The sequence below is a fragment of the Homo sapiens genome, chromosome 3 (genome assembly GCF_000001405.40).
Source record: "Homo sapiens chromosome 3, GRCh38.p14 Primary Assembly".
Lineage (NCBI taxonomy): Eukaryota > Metazoa > Chordata > Mammalia > Primates > Hominidae > Homo > Homo sapiens.
Genome location: NC_000003.12, coordinates 159,714,716 through 159,737,610, shown reverse-complemented (window position 1 = coordinate 159,737,610; position 22,895 = coordinate 159,714,716). Strand labels below are relative to the sequence as shown.

General features: G+C 39.8%; 2 protein-coding genes and 1 pseudogene across 13 annotated transcripts in view, besides 1 other annotated feature; 1 reads left to right on the top strand and 2 right to left on the bottom strand.

Annotated features, from left to right (window-relative positions):
* The window catches only part of IQCJ-SCHIP1 (IQCJ-SCHIP1 readthrough), an 828,041-nt gene that overhangs the window by 159,749 nt on the left and 645,397 nt on the right, over positions 1-22,895 (bottom strand). The gene's annotated exons all lie outside the window — the stretch shown is intronic.
* The window catches only part of SCHIP1 (schwannomin interacting protein 1), a 624,116-nt gene that overhangs the window by 159,749 nt on the left and 441,472 nt on the right, over positions 1-22,895 (bottom strand). For 6 of the 9 annotated variants that reach the window (NM_001394291.1, NM_001394284.1, NM_001394290.1 and 3 more), the window contains exon 1: positions 5,197-5,226. The exons of the other annotated variants lie outside the window; for them this stretch is intronic. The gene's annotated coding sequence lies outside the window, so the exon portion shown is untranslated. Of the gene's footprint in view, positions 1-5,196; positions 5,227-22,895 lie in introns of those variants that run through there. 9 annotated transcript variants of the gene reach the window in all.
* Positions 9,777-10,071: a silencer, noted in NCBI's record as "tiled region #6431; HepG2 Repressive non-DNase unmatched - State 24:Quies, and K562 Repressive non-DNase unmatched - State 24:Quies". NCBI's record gives its function as "represses a minimal TATA promoter and a strong SV40 promoter by Sharpr-MPRA in HepG2 and K562 cells {active_cell/tissue: HepG2 | K562}" and the evidence as "EXISTENCE:reporter gene assay evidence [ECO:0000049][PMID:27701403]".
* Positions 15,371-16,261, top strand: C9orf78P1 (C9orf78 pseudogene 1; annotated as a pseudogene).

Sequence of the window (22,895 nt, the reverse complement as noted above, 5' to 3'; positions counted from 1 at the left end):
AACATGTGTCTTTAGCACAGTGCCTGTTACAATTAGAATTCAATAATAGTAGCACATAACTGTGGTGAGATGGCTATACTTCACCTCCAAAAATGGAAGAGGTATTATATAGAAAGGCAAGAGTAAGTACAAGTTACTGGGAACACTACAGTGAGATTTATTGTTGAACTAGAGGACCAGTTCCTGAAGTGTAGCCCCAGACCACCTGTAAACTTGTTAGAAATTCCAAGTGTTCCGGCCCCAGTCGAGACCTACAGATCAGAGACTCTGGGGATAGAGACTGGCAATCTGTGTTTTAACAAAGCTTCCAGGTAATTCTGATGTATGCTTTCTAGTTTGGGAGCCACTGCATCAGAGGGGCAAGCAGGAGTGGATAATAGAAGTGATAAAGTCAGGGGAGAAGGATGTCTACTCACCTGATGATTAATCAGGCCGAAAACAAGGAAGTGTTGCCCCTCACAGAGGCTATGACCATATCATCACTCCCCACTTTAGTGGAAATTTCCCATAGACAGGATATCAATTTGCCATAAACACAAAGGACAGACCCAGAGCACACTAAAAGAATGTGGTCTTTGGCCGGGCGTGGTGGCTCACGCCTGTAATCCCAGCACTTTGGGAGGCCGAGGTGGGCGGATCATGAGGTCAGGAGATAGAGACCATCCTGGCTAACATGGTGAAACCCCGTCTCTACTAAAAATACAAAAAATTAGCCGGGCGTGGTGGCGGGTGCCTGTAGTCCCAGCTACTCAGGAGACTGAGGCAGGAGAATGGCGTGAACCCGGGAGGCGGAGCTTGCAGTGAGCTGAGATCGCGCCACTGCACTTCAGCCTGGGCGACAGAGCGAGACTCCGTCTCAAAAAAAAAAAAAAAAGAATATGGGCTTGTATTACAAGGGTAGGTGTGGGGAGAACGTCCCCAGTGCAGCCCCGGTGCAGGCATGCAGTAGACTGAACTTCAGTCTCTCTCCCTTGGAAGGGTAGGTAGCCATGGTTCCTGATTGTTTCAAGTGCAGCTTTGAATGAAGGCAAGAAGCTGGTGTAGACTTGTTCAAGCTTCCCCAGCTTGGTGGTTTCATGAATGAATTACATCTGAAAAGCTTAAGGAGAATAGTTGGGGAGTTGGGGAAGAAGGGAGTCAAAGATGTATCAAGAGATTCAACTGCACTAGGATCTCTCATTTCAATCTGTTTAATGCTTTCCCCCATTCTAACTCCTTCTGCCAGTGTACCAGACACAGAAACACTTGCCTTGGGGTAAAAAGTTAAAAAATATTTTTAAGGAACACAGCCAATCCAAAACTCTTTGAGAACCAGCAGCTTTTAAGCCACATCTGCATTTGTAGGCTGTTTCCACAGTTAACCCCTGTAGCAGGTCTATGGTTGCCTCAGCATCGACTTCTTTTTGATTCCACCTAATTAGAAACATAACTTACATTTTTATTAAACATTAAATTTACACATCCTTAGAAACATATCCATACTTGCAGATTGTTCTAAAGTGTGTAGACAAGATCTGGGGCCATTACCTTATTATTAAGGTACAAGACTTTGTTAGACTATTGGGCATTCAGATCCAACATAATTACTGAGCACCTGTCCTGGCACATTTCATGCTTTCCCTGAACCACGTGCATAAGTGTTATTATCATTCTCATTATGCAGGCCATAGATCGAGGCTCAGACACATGTAGGAACTAGCCCAGAGTTTCAAAGCTACTTTAAGTGGACAAGTGTGGACTCTCAACACGTCTCCTGACAGAGGCTGTGTTAATCCATGACTAGAAGATGGGCTATGTGTGTGACCTGCTCTTCGTTTAGTTAAAAATGGCATACTTGATTCCCAGCTTATGTATAGGCTGGGATGTGAACTTCCAGTGGAATATTTCTGTTGCTGAAATTTGTCACCACCTTTCTAAACTGGTGACAGAATTTTTTTGGGTCATACACAGACTCATTGCAAGTAAGGCAAACCTACTCTTAAAGTGACCTAAACAATGAAAGTGCTGAAAGTAAGGATAATCATGTTCTTGAAGACAGCTGTGTGAATGGGTTAGGAGTTTTATAGAAAAGTAGCAATTGGGGCCAGGTGTGGTGGCTCACGTCTGTAATCCCAGCACTTTGGGAGGCTGAGGCGGGCAGATCACCTGAGGTCAGGAGTTCAAGACCAGACTGGCCAACATGGTAAAATCCCCATCTCTACAAAAATACAAAAATTAGCCAGGCATGATGACGGGTGCCTGTAATCCCAGCTATTTGGGAGGCTGAGGCAGGAGAATCACTTGAACCCGGGAGGCAGAGGTTGCAGTGAGCTGAGATAACACCACTGCACTCCAGCCTGGGCGACAGAGCAAGACTCCATCTCAGAAAAAAAAAAAAAAGTAGCAATTGGTTATTTTTGAAATACTTGTAAGAGGTGCCTTATGAGAACCAAAAAAGTTCCTTTAAAAATGCTTTTTAAGCTTATTATTGGAATAGACCACCTTTATAGAGATTCTAAGATAACTTATTATTGTTCTTTAAGACTATGGAGTAATTTTATATTAAAAGAAAACAATCAACAATTCTTCACGTCTCTGAACACAAAATAAGTGGAAGTGGGTTTGCTTTAGGAAGAGCTTTCAAACAGTGAGACTGGTTGATGATTAGGAATGGGTTTCCCAGTGAGTTGGGCATCCTTCTGTGAAGGGAATGGGCACAGGGGATGAAGTAACTGTAGTCCTAAAGCTGAGCTACACAGCTGGTTTCCGTTTTCAAAACTTATTTCCTTTGCCAAGGAACAGTGTAATTTCCCAGGCAATAGAAAAAAAAAAAAAAAAAAAAAAGACAAGAAAAGAAATGAGAAATAGCATTTATGGAGCCTATGCCGAGTTCTGGGGTCTTCTGATCCTAATTAACATTCATTCTTTTTACAAATAAGAAAGCTAAAGTTTAGACTGGCTGAGTAATTTGCCTATGGTTATGGAAATAAATGAAGAAACTAGAAATTTAACTCAGATCTGCTCAATTCTAGGCTGGAAACTGAGGCACAGATAAAGTAAGTGGCTTGTGTGAAGTTGTAAGATCCATATGTGACTGAGGGCGGGGAGAGTCATTGAGTGAAATGTTTGGGAAGACACATCTTTTTTTTCGTTGGAAATACCTTGACTTATCTTATAAAAGATAACAGTATGGGCTGGGCACTGTGGCTCATACCTGTAATCCCAGCACTTTGGGAGGCCGAGGTGGGCGGATCATGAGGACAGGAGTTCGAGACCAGCCTGACCACATGGTAAAACCCCGTCTCTACTAAAAATACAAAAATTAGCTGGGCATGGTGGCACGTGTCTGTCATCCCAGCTACTCAGCAGGCTGAGGCAGGAGAATCGCTTGAACCTGGGAGGCGGAGGTTGAAGTGAGCCGAGATTGCGCCATTGCACTCCAGTCTGGGCGACAGAGCAAGACTCCCTCTCACAAAAAAAAAAAAAAAAAAAAAAAGTAAACAATAATAATAATAACAATATGGTACTTTTAGAGATTTTTCAGCTTTAAGGATAGAATTTTGTTTTTCTTTGTGCATCTATATTTGAAAGCAATGTATTTGACACTGCTTTCTGGATTTGCTTGGTACAAAATGAAGCAAAACTATACCCATGCACTCTGCTGTCTTCCACATTGTGAATGCATAAGTTAACTTTTTGCTTGGGACACCAATGTTTCTGAATGAGAAAGGTCCAAAGTAAAGCCCTTTGTGATTTTAGAGTCAAGAACAGATCTTTCTTTTCAGTAACCAATAATCACCACTTTGCCCATCCATCAGAAGTCGGAGGAGAAGAGAGGAACCCTTATACTAACAAATCCCTCGTGATAAAACAAAATCTTTTTTCATGAACATTCTGTCTTTAGAAAGCACTAACAAGTGGATAGAGCACTTGTTAGTTAATAATAAGAAGAATTCTTCAGTGACTACTCAGATGAATGAATATTTTTAAAAGGCATGGAGTATGTAAGGAATTTTAATCCAGCCTTCTTGTTCACTCCCCCACACAACTGTAGAGAAACCACTGCCTCTGAATGATGAATGGACCTTGACTCAACTAGGAGGAAAGAGGACCCCAAGCCCTGTAATTTAGCATCTCTTTTTTTAAATTCCTGGGTGGACTCCTTTTTTGGCTGTAGGCTCAGTTAAACGGCTTTGGATATTACGTAAAATGACCATCAAGTGTTTCTCCTTCTATACTACACCCATCTCTTTTCAAGCTCTCAGTAAAATCCCAACCCCAGCTGTATATACATCTCAATCTTAGAGAGAAACACATTTCTGCTAGGAAATCTTTAGCTATTAAAAAGTTTTATTAGTTAATTTCAAATTAATATTGTACCAGGCTCCAGACCATGGAGGAAAAAAATTCAAGAAGCTGAGTTAGTAAATGACGGAGCAGTAATTAGCTTAAATGAGATTTCTTCCAGCCCTTTGCTGGAAGAAAGATGACACAGAAAATCTGAGATGTTTCTGTGGATGACACAGAAAATCTGAGCTTAGAAAATCTCTCTTCTCTGCATGTGGTACTATGAGGATGCCAGAGATGCATTTCCACAATCATAGTCTTGTTTATTTATTTAGTCTCCTACTGCAGTGCTTCACACATGCACCCCCACCTCCTGCTCTGTGGCAGCCAAACCCTAATGGCTAACAAGCCAGGCTGCAAAAAGGGTTAAGGCTGCAGCCTTCCAGGCCTATAGACATTCCAAACATTCATGTACTTTCTCCTCTGCAGTCTGGTCCTGTAGCTCCAGCTCCTGGAAAGCCTTCAGCACTTGCAGAAGCAGTATTTCCTACCAGCTATGTTTGGTTTTAACTTGCGGTTCACCAGGTTATATAGCTCAAGAGTCTAAACTTATCCCTCCACGGTCTTATCTATAATTTGTCCCTCTTCCCCAGCTGAATTTGTTTCCCCTGCCCTGCCCTGCCCTGGAAATGCCTCAGGGCCTTCTGTAACCTTGCTGCCTTCTCCCCACAGGAAGTTAGATGCATCCTCACTGGCTGCATTACTGCACATTTCCCTTGTAACCTTGTTTTTTCCTTCAACTCAAACTTCTCCAAACAGCACCATCTCTGCTGACCCTGAAATTCTCTAGCCCTTTCATACCAGTCTTTCTAACCCGCCATGAGAACGATTATAGAGGGCAAATTGCGGAGAGAAGGTTTGGGAACTCACCTGCACAGCAGCAAGGATCAGACACAGGATGGGGCTGCCCGCAAACTTCCCAGGGACTGTCTGCAGCCAAATCTCTTGGCCTTAAAGGGACAGGGCACTTTTCACCATATAAGGAAGACAATTTCACTTGACTGCTTTGGAACCTGTTTGGGCAAGAAGCAGCTCCTCTTGACATTGCCTGCCAGGCTTCAGCCTTTTGAGGAAATTTGGAGCCTGACAATTCACAAGTTTCTGCACATAGTAGGCAATTTAATAATTCCTAAATAAGGGGCCAGGCGTGGTGGCTCACGCCTGTAATTCCAGCACTTTGGGAGGCCAAGGCAGGTGGATCACCTGAGTTCAGGAGTTCGGGACCAGCCTGGCCAACATGGTGAAACCCAGTACCCAGTCTCTACTAAAAATACAAAAATTAGCCAGGTGTGTTGGCGGCCTCCCAGCTACTCAGGAGGCTGAGACAGGAGAATGCTTGAACCTAGAGGCAGAGGTTGCAATGAGCCAAGATTGTGCCATTGCACTCCAGCCTCGGCAGCAGAAAAAAAAAAAATTCCTGGATAAGGCACAAGAAAGATATTTGGTGGGCTAATTTTAAAGGCCAGAAAACCCTTTATGTGGGACTTATTCTCTTACAAAAATGGTTTCTGGCAACTGTGAAGTCTTCCTCAATTATATGAAAGGGCTTCTGCTTCTATTTCAGGTTTGGCTTCCTTGAGACAGAGGATCTTGCTCGCCTCAAAGAGGAGGGCAGTTTGCCCCCTTCCTCCTGACTCCAAGACAAAAGAGAGAAGACTGAAGAGTGGTAAAGCTTGTGGTGTGAGATTTGGATTGTTGTAAGACACATTTGCGCTGCATCCTGAAAACAGTGAAGTGGAGATGATTTTGCTCTTTCAGCAGATAGAGAGCCCTTCCGAAACAGATAAACACGCACAGTCCTCAGTGGAGGCCCTCTACCGGCCTCGTCTACTCCTGAGCACACCTCTTGGACTCCCTTGGCTAAAGCCCACAGCTGAAGCTTGAGGGTTCCTTTTACCTTCCAGCTGGCAGGGACGAGGATGTGCTTTAGCAAGAGCAAAGATTTTCTACTGATAATATTCAAATGCAAAGCTGTCCTGTTGATTTGGGGGTGGATTAAAAGTAATTATAAAATGTTAGATTCTAAGAAGAGAGTAGAGCCTAATTTGGTCATCACTTTTGTGGTAACATACTTCTTTCTTTGCTGCTAACTGGATATTGTCTTTGAAAATGCTTTGACGTCTGCCAGGTGGCTCCAGCCAGCACCTACTCTTTTTTGCTTAGCTTACTATGCCTAATATCCAGTGTCTGAATCACAGATTTGGGATCTTTTAAAAACGGAATTTGGCGCTTGATTATAGAGTCTCATACTATCTTCACATCTTACTTTCTTGCATAAATTTTGAGTTTTAAGGACAAAGGCCACTCCATATTCCTCCTACTCTGATTAACTCCCAGCATGGAACAAGCATGTAGTAGAGTGGGAAATCTTTGTTGGATTTAATCAACTGAATGGAACCCTGGGTTTTTGTATGATGTCTAGATAGTTTTATGAATAAAATAGGTGTTTACTAAATAATTGTTTAGTAAATGGCTAACCCATCCCAGCCTCACTGGGAAAGAGAGGGAAAGGGGAGCTCCTCTCCCTTTTGCTGTGGTCAAATAAATACATGATTTATTTGCTTTACTCTCTCTTTTATATCAACTAGTAATTTTCATATCATTAAATTTTCTTTAAGGGAAGAGGTCAAAGGAATATCTTTAAAAGGTAATTATTGTGATTACTCTTTGATCCAGCAATCTAATTTCTAGGAATTTAATCTAATGAAATAATTAAAAAGAGGCAAAACATTATATTAATAGAGCTACTCATTGCATTACTATCTATAACAGCCATAACAAGAAATGACTTAAAGTTTCTAAGGTTATTTCATACAGTAATAATAATAGCTCATGCTGATTGATTGCTCATCATGTACCAGGCACTGCTCTAAAAGCTTTATGCAGATTAACCCACTTAATCTGTAATCTCACTTAATCTGTCTCAATTCTCATGTCAAACCTATGAGGTAAAAATGGTCATCATCCCCATTTTATAGGCCAGAAGACTAAGGCGCAGAGGTTAAAAAATTCCCATTTGGATTGAGGTATTTTGGCACCAGCATTTACAGTCTTAGCATCATTCTTTGCTCTCATTAGGACTTCCTGAACATTATAATAGGCACTAGGGACAGACAGATTTATGAAACAGAAAGGACTCCACTTCATATAGCCATTAAAGATAACAATTATGAAAACTATGTACAAATAAGGAAACATGCTAATTTATATGGACATACATATTTATAGATACATTATGATGCCATTTATTTCATATGGATAGATATAGTGTAGATATAAATTGTGATCTTTTTATTTAACAACATATCTTGGATATTATTCCATATCCAGGCCTGCAGATCTCCTTTACTTTTTAAATGGCAGAATACAAGGCTGTCTTCTGGGAATACACCACAATTTAACCAGTGTCTTATTGATGTACATTCAGACTGTTTCTAGTCTATTGCAGCTAAAATAGTTGCGTAATGAATATCTTTATTTGCCATATGTGATTTCAACAATAACCAAGAAATCTTATTTTTGTTGCTATTACATTCAATTAATCATTTGATTTAGGGAAAGTTGACTTCTTTATGATATTTAGTCTTTTTATCTAAACACAGGGAATGCCATTTCATTTTATCAAGATTCAGTTACATATATTCTGCATGTTTATTGTTATTTTTATTCTAATGTATTTTATTATTCTAGAAGCCATTTTAAATGGGAACTTTTTCATTATGTTTTCTAACTTGTTTTTATACAGGAAAGTTATTGATTATTGCATTTAATAACCAGCTTTTGTACTGGATTATCTTATTGTTTCCAATAATTTTCTATGTGACTCTCTTTTAGCTATGCGATCATATCATCTGTAAATAATTATCACTTTGGCTCATCCTTTTCATTGTTTTATACATTTATTTCCTCTTATTTAATTGGGTAGTACTTAAACAATATTAGTTACATATGTTAAACAATGGCACCATTTCCTCACATTATTGGGAAGGCTTTTTGTATTTCATCATTAAACAACATGCTGCCTTGGAAAAAATAGGTAATTTTTTTACCACTACCACAATATTATAAAGAGAGTTTTATCTGGAACACTTCTATTTTCTTTCTTTTCTTTTCTTTTTTTCTTTTCTTTTCTTTTTTTTAGACAGAGTCTCACCTGTCTCCTAGGCTGGAGTGCAGTGGTGTGATCTCAGCTCACTGCAACCTCTGCCTCCCGGGTTCAAGTGATTCTCCTGCCTCAGCCTCCCAAGTAGCTGGGACTACAGCATGTACCACCATGCCCAGATGATTTTATACTTTTAGTAGAGATGGGGTTTCACTATGTTGGCCAGGCTGGTCTTGAACTCCTGACCTCAGGTGATCTGCCTGCCTTGGCCTCCCAAAGTGGTGGTATTACAGGCATGAGCCACTGCGCCTGGCCGGAACACATCTATTTTTAATGAGTAAACCTGAGAGCTTCAAAACCCCCTGGCCTGACTGCCAGGAATAATTCTGTTTCTAACTGTCCCCCACTATTTCTCCAGGGATCCAGGGCCTCTCAGAGTTCACCTGAGCTTTCCCAAGTCTGGTTTGTTCTCTCTACCCTGCTGCTACTACTGCAAGTGACTTTCACAAGATGCTTCTGAGCATAGCATTGCTCTGCTGTGACCACTGCAGGTAACCCATCCCAGCCTCACTGGGAAAGAGAGGGAAAGGGGAGCTCCTCTTCTTTTGTTTCTCCAACCAATGTGAGACAGATTCTTCCCTTTATCTCATAAGACAGCTGATGCCAGGAACCAATTTAATAAGACATTACTTAGGCATGGAACAACTTAACAAGACATTACTGGAAGTTGGCAGTGAGTGGGGGAGAAGTAGTATAGCACCCTCTAGACTGGTCTTAGGGTCCCCTGTGAAGCTGGTTGCCTGCCTCATTCTCCATCCTCCTTCAGATGTCAAGAGAATTTCTGCCTTTTGGAACTTGGACAATATTGGCCACCTACCCAGAGAGAGGAGAAGGATAATCCAGACATAAAGGTAAGGCCCACTTCCTTAGTCTTTATCCCCTGCCTAGGTGTGATCAACTCCCAGAATGATGGTGAAAAGATCCACTTCCTTCTAAGAGGTACTAATCTACCCACCCACTGGCATATGGTCTGTCCTTAAGGTACTAGTAAGACAATCACAGCATAATCTGACATCATGCAGCTTACATATTTTAAATGTGCCCTGGGGAGCTAACAATGGGTCCAGATTTATTAAAGTTACTCTTAAATTACAGATTGCCTTTTTAAAAAAAAAAAAAACAAAAACAGGATTTTAAAATTTGATGATGCCATGGCTGTGACCAAAAAACAAACAAACAAACAAACCAAAAAAAAAAACAACAAAAAAGTTTTTTGGAGCCTGAAAGAGCAGAAACAGGAATCATCTGGACACCCATTTAGAGGAAGGACTGACCAGTGCATGAGGCAGCCTAGATATACTGAACAGGGGCTTATTAATTTGTTGACTATCATGAAGGCTTTGCTAGCAGCCCTTTGTTTCACATAAAAATATAGGCAGGAAACCAAATGTATATTCCCTGTGTGTTGGCTACACTTTGCTTTGTTCCCCAGACCCACACTAGCTCAGGAAATCAAAGTCCAACCTAATCACTTCCTCCAGGAAACTTGATTCATCCTATAAGATAACATCCCTCAATCCTCCAAGGCCTTTATTGCTATGCTTAAGCACTTTAAAAAAATTGAATAAATATGTTAATGAATATTATTGATATTTGGGGCTTCATTTTCCAACCCTTGCGAGTTTATGCACCTTCTTAGGGTGGGAATTTATTCAGTCATTTGACAAGATTTGTTGACAGTCTACAACATGCTGGGCTCTTCAGAACTCCAGGGATACAGCAGTGGAAAAAAATAGGCAAAATCATAATACTCATGGAACTTATGTTCTTGTGCGGAGGCAGACCAGTAAATAAATAAAAAAGAAAATGTCAGGTAGTAATTAATTCTGTGATGAAGATAAAATAGGATACATGAAAGAGGTGACTGGGTGTTGATTAGGAAAAAACTCGGAATTCTTGAATTTTAAGCTGCTCACATCTTTCTTTTTAGAAAAGATTCTGCAGCATCTACCAGCCAGTTCACCTTGCAAATGATTGATGCTCAACAAGCATTATAGGATGGTTTAAAAAATATATTTTGGAGCCTGACCAAAGTTTCTTTTTCATGGCTTTAATGACATTAGTTCATAGAGGATTTGTTTTTTGATCTCTAAATCAGGTGGTGTCCTCAATGGGCTTTTAATGTAAGCTTCCTCTCCTATGTTTCCAGCATATCGCCAATTGCCACTTATACAGGTTACATAAAAGTAAATGCAAAAAATAAAGTGATCTCAAGTTCCGGTCAAGAAACACCTGCTAAATAGTTGGCATTATCCTTAGACAATCTTCTCTTCGAGCAATTTTGGAAACTCCCTAGTTGTACTTCTCTGTAAAGGTTTGCACCTGGGAAATGGCACAGAGGCTTTTATGAGAAATGCTATTATAAGCCTCTCAGTAAAGCTGAGAGACAGGAGAGGCTGCAGGGGGCCCTATTTTATAGTACAGTAAGGTTAGCCATTTACTGTTCCCATAAGCTATTTCACTTGCAATAAAGGTCAATGGGCCTTTTTAGGGAGGAGAGCTAGACCCCTGTCTAAAACTGCCATCTTCAGCAGTCAAAAAGACAGCTTGCTTTAGATTCTTCTGGAAAGTGGTAGGATTTTTATTTCACTGGGAGAGTGGTTCAATATGATCAGCTGATGAGCAAGGCAATAAGAATTCACAGACTTCAGAACAGAAGACTTAAACCCGAAGGTAGCTTGACCACAAAGCTAAGCAGGGCGTGTCAGCCTGCGGCTCTGCTTGTTACCTTCATGTATGAACTCTGCCAAAAAATGCAACATTTCTGCACCTGGAATTCTTTATCCCTAGACTTCCTGAGAAATTGGTGTCCTAAAAGACAGTGGTTTGCAACACGTGGAGCTGCAAATCCAGTACAGCAGAAGCCGTCCTACTAACAGTTGATTTTTTTTGTTAGCTTTTAAATAATGAAATCAAACTGAGTATTTCCTTAAAGACACTGGGCTTCAACATTTTTGTTCAATATCTCCTAGGGAATTTTGAAAAACTATATACCTTCATTCAGTTTTATGTTATAATCTAAAAGTTTTCATCAAAACTTCAAAGGTTGCAAGGGTGTAATATATGGTCTGTTGTAAATATTGGCTTTCAAAAGTAATACTATTACTCAGCTTGTTATAATATAGCTAATGGAATATAAGTAGTATAGCACCATCATCCACTTGATAAGAGGTGGGAATTTTACATCATTTCTTTTTCCCTTTGAATTCTTATTTCCATTCTTTTACAAAATTTTATTCTAATAAAAGATCTTTCTGTGCTTAGGAGTATTTAAATTTTACCTTAGTATAATTATACCTTAGTTTTCTATAATAAATATAAAGTGAAATTACAATTTGTTTCTTTCCTGTGACCATTGGCCCTGTTAAAAGACAATGCACCTGGATGGAGCTGTCATTGCGATTATTGCCAGTGGTACCTGTGGCAGAGACAGTACTGTGCTCACCACACCTTTTTCTTCTTGAAAGTCCAGGAAGTTTTTATTTCATAGTTTTCCACTGGGAGAGTGGGCAGAAATGAAGTCTTGTTTCCAATCCTAGGCAGTTAAAAGTGTATTGAGGCCAGGCGTGGTGGCTCACGCCTGTGATTGCAGCACTTTGGAAGGCGGAGGCAGGCGGATCCCTTGAGGCCAGGAGTTCGAGACCTGACCAAGATGATGAAACCCCGTCTCTACTAAAAATACAAAAATTAGCTGGGTGCAGTGGCATGTGCCTGTAGTCCCAGCTACTTGGAGGCTGAGGCAGGAGAATCTCTTGAACCCAGGAGGCAGAGGTTGCAGTGAGCTGAGATCACACCACTGCACTCCAACCTAGGTGACAGAGGGAGATTCTGTCTTAAAAAAAAAAAAAAAAGAAAAAAGAAAAGAAAAAGTGGATTTAGTTTCTCTCTCTCTCTCATCTTCCCAAGTGGAACTAGAAACTCTGGTGGCAGAGATACAAGATGGAAACAGAGGTATCTTGGTCACCCTTGGAAGAGAGTCCCCAAGAAGGGCTCCTCATCCGCATCAAACTGAGATGAATGAGCAATCAAGTTTGTTGTGTTAAACCATTGAAATTTTAGGTTTACTTATTACAGTTAGGTAGCTTATACTGTCCTGATGATTATGGGGCATAACTGATGAAAACAAGATGAATATATTACAACTTTAGACAGGTAATTATTAAGATAAAAAAATCAAACTCTTAAAATGCATCTCAGTAAAAACATTGAGAAATCTTGCTTGTGCAGATGAGAATGAAGGCAGCTATAGCAATGTCACTGAATTCCCATTGAGTTACATGCACAAGGTGATTCATAAGAAAACATTTTTAATAATCTGTCAACTGACAACTGAATTGTGTCTTCTTTAAATTTTATTGAAGGCAAAGATTTAGCAACCACTTGACTTGCAAAGGAATTTTTTTTACCCAGGGATTCGAGTCACTCATTTTCTTGACATCCTCCCCGATATTTCAAATTATCACTTTTTTGGAGCTCCAGAGTCCTTTATATCCCATTGTAAATCACCATAGCAAGATTTTGTGAAATGGGAGAAAACTACTGGAAAAGGGAGGTGGGTAAAGATTTCTCAGGCAGTCAATTTTATGAACAAGTTATAGGAAATTTGAAAATCCATAAATTAATTCCCTAAAAACTATCTATATCAATATACCCTTTGAAAGTCTCTATGAATGCCCTGGGGAAAAAGACGCTGGTCTAGGGAAGAGGGAGAGGAGTCAGGAGCTGCACTGTCTCCTGACCTAATCCTCCTTTGGCTGCAGACCTTCACCCAAACCCTTGGCCCATCTTTCCCTGCCCTTCCTCCTAACTCACATTAGCTCCCAGTAAAAAAGGTCCTGATCAGGATTAAAATCTGTAACATATAAGGAGTTATTTTAAATCAATGAGAAAAGTATGATTACTCCAACAAAAAAGATGAGCAAATGATATGAAAAGGCAATCAATAAGAGAAGAAATACAAATGGTCAATCCCTATAGAAAATATTAAAACTTCACTCAGAAATCATAGATATGCAACTTAAGACAATGAAATACCATTCTGGAAATCAAATTGGAAAAAATACAGGAACTTCTAGTGGTGATTAGGAGGAAAATAAACTGGTTCAACTCTTCCAGGTAGCAATTTGGCAATATGCATCAAATGTATTAAAACATATAAAATTGAGCTAGTAATCCCAATTCTAAGAATTATTCTAACAAATTATGAATATGGAAAATGAAGATTCAGCCTCAAGCTTTATCACAGTGTTTTGGTCAAGGTTCTTTTGGTTGTAAGTATTAGGTTGCAAAGTATCTTTCATTTGAAATGCCTCTTCTCTACTGCTTTTGCTGGGTCTCTTAGTTAAAAATTCTTGATTGATTTGGACTGATTGTTTGCTGAGTGCCAATAGATTAGCCTCATCCTAGCAGCTGTTTGGGAGAAGAGGTGTCTTATGATGTACAGGGTTGCTTCTTCCAGGTACTATATGGGGTTAGGGCTGGGTTCTTCACAATAAACAGGAAATGAAATAAACATAGCCTATCTAAAATGATGAAGAACAGAACTAATTTAAAATTCTGACCTAGTATGTGAAGCAAACTCTGACATCATGCAATAAGATATCATTAAAAATGTTCTTATGGAAGAACACTGACATCATGCAGTGAGATTGTTACTAAAAATATTCTTATAGAAGACTACTTAATAACATGGGACTAGACTTGTGATACTTTTCTATTTCTGGAGAAAACATAGAAACATTGCAAAAAATATATAGTATCATTTCATTTAAAAATTCTTATATTTGTAAAGAAACAATATGTAGCAAAACTGTAGTAATAAAAATATGTGGATGGTGGGATTATCAGCTATTATTAATTTCTTATCTTTATGAAACCATTATTTTCTAACTTAATTACAGTTAACATGTATAAGTATTTTGATAAGAAAAACACCATTAAGATTCAGCAAGAATTCTTCAATCTCTAAGAGGACTGAAAAGAAACAAAGTGGATCTCAAATTTTGGATGAGCTATTAATAATTAGGTTCTGCTCAAGGAGTCAGAAAACAGGCTGCAAAACACCTACCCAGCTCCTGGAAGCACTGAGCACACATGGGCTCTGCTCAGCAGCCACAGCAGGTTCCAATTGCTATAGCCAGGGGAGGAAGAGATGCCACAGAGAGGAGTAACCACATCTAGTCTTCCTGCTCCCCACTTTTCTCCAGGAATTCTAAATCCCTTCAGCTATATTTTATGATTTCTATATGAAGACATGTAGTTCAGGGCAAAGAAAATTGGACTCAGAAACAGAGGGTTCAAATCTGTTCTGATACTTTACTAGTTAATCATCATGAAGCCACGAAACCTCTTTGAGCCACAGTAAAATGGAGAAAAAATAGGCAACCTGTTTATTTATATGGTTGTTTCAACAATTTAACGAGACAATATGTGAAAGTACTTGAAAAAATGATATGCATACAAGCACACATACATGCTTCTCTCTCGCACACACACCCTCTCTATACACACACATACACATACACATGCACACACACAAAATATTGCGTCTCAAATGTATACATTAAACAATTGGGGAAATAAAAATTAGAAACCTAAATCCTTGATTAGACCTTGGCTAAATGTAAATGAAATTATAGATCCTGTGGATTTGATGAGATGCCTCGAGAAGAAATGTCTTGTTGACCTGAATACTTTGAGAAGTGCCGATTATTATTCTCTCTATAAGATAGAAAGAGAAGACTTTCTATTGGTGCCAGGCCAACTCAGAGTCAGAAGAGGATGAGCAGAACTCAGAGGAGGTTTGATTAAAACTGGAAGAGACAAGAGGGTGTAGAACTTGAGGAAGAGGCGCAACAGGCTGAGTGCTGTGGCCCTGTTGGTGGAAGAGAAGGTACAAGAAGAGACCACTCTAGTGGATGATCCTTTTCATATGAAAATAGGTGGTATGGTACCCACCATACAGGTATCCACCATAGTTTCCTAAAGAAACTAAACAAAAGGGACAAAGATAAAATCAGTGAAGAGGAAGACACTGGGGACATTGTTTTCTGCAGAAACCAACTGAAGGGATGAGAATGCAGACATAATAAAGTACGTTGAGACAGAGCTGAAGAAGAGGAAAGAGACTATGGAACATAAGGAACAGAAAGTCAAGCTGAAGAACACAGAGGACTGCCTTTATGAACTTCAAGAAAACATTTGTGTTTCCTCAGCAAAGAAGACAGAGGAGATGCTTTCTAGCCAGATGCTGAGTGGCATCCCCAAGGTGGACCTCAGCATCAATGCTAAAATAAAAAATAATATCATTTCCATGGAGGATGCCAAAGCCCAGCTGGGGAAGAACAGCAGAACAAGAAGAAAGACAGTGAGACGTCCTTCGTGCCTACCAACATGGCTGTGAATATATGCTGCACAACCGACTTTTATCATTAGGAGCTCAACAGCCTCATACATAGAAACAAAGAAGAGCCTTGAAAGCAGGTGACAGGGAGAAGCCAGAGCCTGAGTGGTCCTTTCCAAATGGCAAGCATCCTGTTAATGAGAAGGCCCCTGATGACTATCACTATGAGAAAAGTTCAAGAAGACGAACAGGCAGTACTGAGATGTGTAGAATGGAATGTAAATACCAGTTCTTTCTCTCTCCATCCCTTTCATGGAAAAATGCTTCCTGGATAGAAGCATGCTCATTTGCCATTAGACAGTTCCAAAAACAGACTTTCTTACTCCTGCTGCTTACCTGCTGGATTTTTCAAGCACTAAATTTGTAACTTTTTGAAATAAAGCAGTGCATAGATTTCCTATTTAAAAAGCAAACTCTATTCTTGTGGGCCCTAAATCCTGTTTGTAAATGTATTTATTGGTTTTCTCTTAACATTTGTTCTTGGTCAGAAGGAAGCAACTATGTGTCCATGGTATGCTATTAATAATACCCTTTAGACTGTGCTTTTATCATTATATATGCAATCATGTCTTCTACTTTCACATATTTGAAATGGGTTCAGAAATCGATCCTTCATTGTTTAGAGTGGGTCTAGCTGACAGCAGAAAAATACTAGAATATCAGTATTCAAAGCAATACTGGTATTTTCTAACTTTTACAAAGTATTTTATTAAGAAAGAAAAAGCAAAACTGTATATATTTTTATCACTTTTAGAATTTAATTATTAAATACAAAATGAATTTAAAAAATGAAAGATAAAGAATGTTTACTTTCTGCTGAAAACAGGAGCTAAATAGGCTGGGCGTGGTAGCTCACACCTGTAATCCCAGCACTTTGCTAGGCAGAGGCGGGCAGATCACCTGAGGTCAGGAGTTTGCAACCAGTCTGGCCCACATGGCAAAACCCCGTCTCTACTAAAAATACAAAAATTAGCTGGGCTGGCTGGCAGGTGCCTGTAATCCTAGCTACTTGGGAGGCTGAGGCGGGAGGATTGCTTGAACTCGGGAGGCAGAGGTTGCAGTGAGCCGAGATGGTGCCACTGCACTCCAGCCTGGGTGGCAGAGTAACACTCTGCCTCAAAAAGAGAAAAAAGAAAAAAAAAGAAAACAAGAGCAAAATAAACAAGAAACATTGCTGAAAGATAAGCTAGGGGAACGAAGGTCTTATTTAAATTTAAATTTTTTGCTATAGTGTTTAGAATATAATAAATTATAGCTCCTTCTAATATTTACTGAGAAGGGCAAGATGTTCTCTAAGTTATTCAATTTTTACTTATTTATTTATTTTTAATTTTTTTTTATACTTTAAGTTCTAGGGTGCATGTGCACAATGTGCAGGTTTGTTACATATGTATACATGTGCCATGTTGGTGTGCTGCACCCGTTAACTTGTCATTTACATTAGGTGTTTCTCCTAATGCTATTCCTCCCCCCTCCCCCCTCCCCCCACCCCACGATAGGCCCCGGTGTGTGATGTTCCCCACCCTGTGTCCAAGAGTTCTCATTGTTCAATTCCCACCTATGAGTGAGAACATGCGGTGTTTGGTTTTCTGTCCTTGAGATAGTTTGCTCAGAATGATGGTTTCCAGCTTCGTCAATGTCCCTACAAAGGACATGAACTCACTTTTTATGGCTGCATAGTATTCCATGGTGTATATGTGCCACATTTTCTTAATCCAGTCTATCATTGATGGACATTTGGGTTGGTTCCAAGTCTTTGCTATTGTGAAGTGCCGCAATAAACATACGTGTGCATGTGTCTTTAGAGCAGCATGATTTATAATTCTTTGGGTGTATACCCAGTAATGGGATGGCTGGATCAAATGGTATTTCTAGTTCTAGATCCTTGAGGAATCTCACACTGTCTTCCACAATGGTTGAACTAGTTTACAGTTCCACCAACAGTGTAAAATGTTCCTATTTCTCCACATCTTCTCCAGCACCTATTGTTTCCTAACTTTTTAATGATCACCATTCTAACTGGTGTGAGATGCTATCTCATTGTAGTTTTGGTTTGCATTTCTCTGATGGCCAGTGATGATGAGCATTTTTTCATGTGTCTGTTGGCTGCATAAATGTCTTCTTTTGAGAAATGTCTGTTCATATCCTTCACCCACTTTTGGATGGGGTTGTTTGATTTTTTTCTTGTAAATTTGTTTAAGTTCTTTGTAGATTCTGGATATTAGCCCTTTGTCAGATGGGTAGACTGCAAAAATTTTCTCCCATTCTGTAGGTTGCCTGTTCACTCTGATGGTAGTTTCTTTTGCTGTGGAGAAGCTCTTTAGTTTAATTAGATCCCATTTGTCAATTTTGGCTACTGTTGCCATTGCTTTTGGTGTTTTAGATATGAAGTCCTTGCCCATGCCTATGTCCTGAATGGTATTGCCTAGGTTTTCTTCTAGGGTTTTTATGATTTTAGGTCTGACATTTAAGTCTTTAATCCATCTTGAATTAATTTTTGTATGAGGTATAAGGAAGGGATCGGGTTTCAGCTTTCTACATATGGCTAGCCAGTTTTCCCAGCACCATTTATTAAATAGGGAATCCTTTCCCCATTTCTTGTTTTTGTCAGGTTTGTCAAAGATGGGATGGTTGTAGATGTGTGGTATCATTTCTGAGGGCGCTGTTCTGTTCCATTGGTCTATATCTCTGTTTTGGTACCAGTACCATGCTGTTTTGGTTACTGTAGGCTTGTAGTATAGTTTGAAGTCAGGTAGCGTGATGCCTCCAGCCTTGTTCTTTTTGCTTAGGATTGTCTTGGCAATGTGGGCTCTTTTTTGGTTCCATATGAACTTTAAAGTAGTTTTTTCCAATTCTGCGAAGAAATTCATTGGTAGCTTGATGGGGATGGCATTGAATCTGTAAATTATCTTGGGAAGTGTGGCCATTTTCACAATATTGATTCTTCCTATCTATGAGCATGGAATGTTCTTCCATTTGTTTGTGTCCTCTTTTATTTCGTTGAGCAGTGGTTTGTAATTCTCCTTGAAGAGGTCCTTCACATCTCTTGTAAGTTGGATTCCTAGGTATTTTATTCACTTTGAAGCAATTGTGAATGGGAGTTCACTCATGATTTGGCTCTCTGTTTGTCTGTTATTGGTGTATAAGAATGCTTGTGATTTTTGCACATTGATTTTCTATCCTGAGACTTTGCTGAAGTTGCTTATCAGCTTAAGGAGATTTTGGGATGAGACGATGGGGTTTTCTAAATATACAATCATGTCATCTGCAAACAGGGACAATTTGACTTCCTCTTTTCCTAACTGAATACCCTTTATTTCTTTCTTCTGCCTGATTTCCCTGGCCAGGAATTCCAACACTATGTTGAATAGGAGTGGTGAGAGAGGGCATCCCTGTCTTGTGCCAGTTTTCAAAGGGAATGCTTCCAGTTTTTACCCATTCAGTATGATATTGGCTGTGGATTTGTCATAAATAGCTCTTAATATTTTGAGATACATCCCATCAATACCTAATTTATTGAGAGTTTTTCGCATGAAAGGCTGTTGAAATTTTGTCGAAGGCCTTTTCTGCATCTATTGAGATAATCATGTGGTTTTTGTCTTTGGTTCTGTTTATATAATGGATTACATTTATTTATTTGTGTATCTTGAACCAGCCTTGCATCCCAGGGATGAAGCCCACTTAATCACGGTGTATAAGCTTTTGAATGTGCTGCTGGATTTGGTTCGCCAGTATTTTATTGAGGATTTTTGCATCAGTGTTCATCAGGGATATTGGTCTAAAATTCTCTTTTTTTGTTGTGTCTCTGCCAGGCTTTGGTATCAGGATGATGCTGGCCTCATAAAATGAGTTAGGGAGGACTCCCTCTTTTTCTATTGATTGGAATAGTTTCAGAAGGAATGGTACCAGCTCCTCTTTGTACCTCTGGAAGAATTTGGCTGTGAATCCATCTGGTCCTGGACTTTTTTTGGTTGGTAGGCTCTTAATTATTGCCTCAATTTCAGAGCCTGTTATTGGTCTATTCAGGGATTCAACTTCTTCCTATTTTAGTCTTGGGATGGTGTATGTGTTCAGGAATTTACCCATTTCTTCTGGATTTTCTAGTTTACTTGTGTAGAGGTGTTTATAGTATTCTCTGATGGTAGTTTGTATTTCTGTGGGATTGGTGGTGATATCCCCTTTATCATTTTTTATTGTGCCTATTTGATTCTTCTCTCTTTTCTTCTTTATTAGTCCTGCTAGTGGTCTGTCAATTTTGTTGATCTTTTCAAAAAACCAGCTCCTGGATTCATTGATTTTTTTGAAGGGTTTTTGTCTCTATCTCCTTCAGTTCTGCTTTGATCTTAGTTATTTCTTGCCTTCTGCTAGCTTTTGAATGTGTTTGCTCTTGCTTCTCCAGTTCTTTTAATTGTGATGTTAGGGTGTCAATTTTAGATCTTTCCTGCTTTCTCTTGTGGGCATTTAGTGCTATAAATTTCCCTCTACACACTGCTTTAAATGTGTCCCAGAGATTCTGGTATGTTGTGTCTTTGTTATCATTGGTTTCAAAGAACATCTTTATTTCTGCCTTCATTTTGTTATGTACCCAGTAGTCATTCAGGAGCAGGTTGTTCAGTTTCCATGAGTGGTTTTGAGTGAGTTTCTTAATCCTGAGTTCTAGTTTGATTGCACTGTGGTCTGAGAGACAGTTTGTTATAATTTCTGTTCTTTTAATTTGCTCAGGAGTGCTTTACTTCCTACAATGTGGTCAATATTGGAATAAGTGCAGTGTGGTGCTGAGAAAATGTATATTCTGTTGATTTGGGGAGGAGAGTTCTGTAGATGTGTATTAGGTCCACTTGGTGCACAGCTGAGTTCAATTCCTGGATATCCTTTTTAACTTTCTGTCTCGTTGATCTGTCTAATGTTGACAGTGGGGTGTTAAAGTCTCCCGTTATTATTGTGTGGGAGTCTAAGTCTCTTCGTAGGTCTCTAAGGTCTTGCTTTACGAATCTGGGTGCTCCTGTATTGGGTGCATATATACTTAGGATAGTTAGCGCTTCTTGTTGAATTGATCCCTTTACCATTATGTAATGGCCTTCTTTTCCTCTTCTGATCTTTGTTGGTTTAAAGTCTGTTTTATCAGAGACTCCTTGCTTTCTTTGTTTTACATTTGCTTGGTAGATCTTCCTTCATCCCTTTATTTTGAGCCTATGTGTGTCTCTGCACATGAGAGGGGTCTCCTGAATACAGCACACTGATGGATCTTGACTCTTTATCCAATTTGCCAGTCTGTGTCTTTTAATTGGAGCATTTAGCCCATTTACATTTAAGGCTAATATTGTTATGTGTGAATTTGATCCTGTCATTATGATGTTAGCTGGTTATTTTGCTCATTAGTTGATGCAGTGTCTTGCTAGCATCAATGGTCTTTACAATTTGGCATATTTTTGCAGTGGCTGATACCAGTTGTTCCTTTCCATGTTTAGTGCTTCCTTCAGGAGCTCTTGTAAGGCAGACCTGATGGTGTCAAAATCTGTCAGCATTTGCTTGTCTGTAAAGGATTTTATTTCTCCTTCACGTATGAAGCTTAGTTTGGCTGGATATGAAATTCTGGGTTGAAAATTCTTTTCTTTAAGAATGTTGAATATTGGCCCTCACTCTCTTCTGGCTTGTAGAGTTTCTGCTGAGAGATCCTCTGTTAGTCTGATGGGCTTCCCTTTGTGGGTAACCTGACCTTTCTCTCTGGCTGCCCTTAACATTTTTTCCTTCATTTCAACTTTGGTGAATCTGACAATTATGTGTCTTGGAGTTGTTCTTCTTGAGGAGTATCTTTGTGGCATTCTCTCTATTTCCTGAATTTGAATGTTGGCCTGCCTTGCTAGGTGAGGAAGTTCTCCTGGATAATATCCTGCAGAGTGTTTTCCAACTTGGTTCCATTCTCCCCATCACTTTCAGGTATACCAATCAGATGTAGATTTGGTCTTTTCACATAGTCCCATATTTCTTGGAGGCTTAGTTCATTTCTTTTTACTCTTTTTCTCTGAACTTCTCTTCTCACTTCATTTCATTTATTTGATCTTCAATCACTGATACCCTTTCTTCCAGTTGATCAAATTGGCTACTGAAGCTTGTGCATGCATCACGTAGTTCTCGTGCCATGGTTTTCAGCTCCATCAGGTCATTTAAGGTCTTCTCTACGCTGTTTATTCTAGTTAGCCATTTGTCCAATCTTTTTTCAAGGTTTTTAGCTTCTTTGCGATGGGTTCAAATATCCTCCTTTAGCTCAGAGAGGTTTGTTATTACTGATCTTCTGAAGCCTTCTTCTCTCAACTCGTCAAAGTCATTCTCCGTCCAGCTTTGTTCTGTTGCTGCTGAGGAGCTGCATTCCTTTGGAGGATTAGAGGCGCTCCGATTTTTAGAAGTTTCAGCTTTTCTGCTCTGGTTTCTCCCCATCTTTGTGGTTTTATCTACCTTTGGTCTTTGATGATGGTGATGTATAGATGGGGTTTTGGTGTGGATGTCCTTTCTGTTTGTTAGTTTTCCTTCTAACAGTCAGAACCTTCAGCTGCAGGTCTGTTGGAGTTTGCTGGAGGTCCACTCCAGACCCTGTTTGCCTGGGTATTACCAGCAGAGGCTGCAGAGCCACAACTATTGCAGAATGGCAAATGTTGCTGCCTGATCATTCCTTTGGAAGCTTCCTCTCAGAGGGGCACCCAGCCCTATGAGGTGTCAGTCATCCCCTACTGGGAGATGCCTCCCAGTTAGGCTACTCGGGGGTTAGGGGCCCACTTGAGGAGGCAGTCAGTCCGTTCTCAGATTTCAAACTGCATGATGGGAGAACCACTACTCTCTTCAAAGCTGTCAGACAGGGACGTTTAAGTCTGCAGAAGTTTTGCCTCCTTTTGTTCAGCTATGCCCTGCTCCCAGAGGTGGAGTCTACAGAGGCAGGTGGGCCTCCTTGAGCTGAGGTGGGCTCCACCCAGTTCGAGCTTCCCAGCTGCTTTGTTTACCTACTCAAGCCTC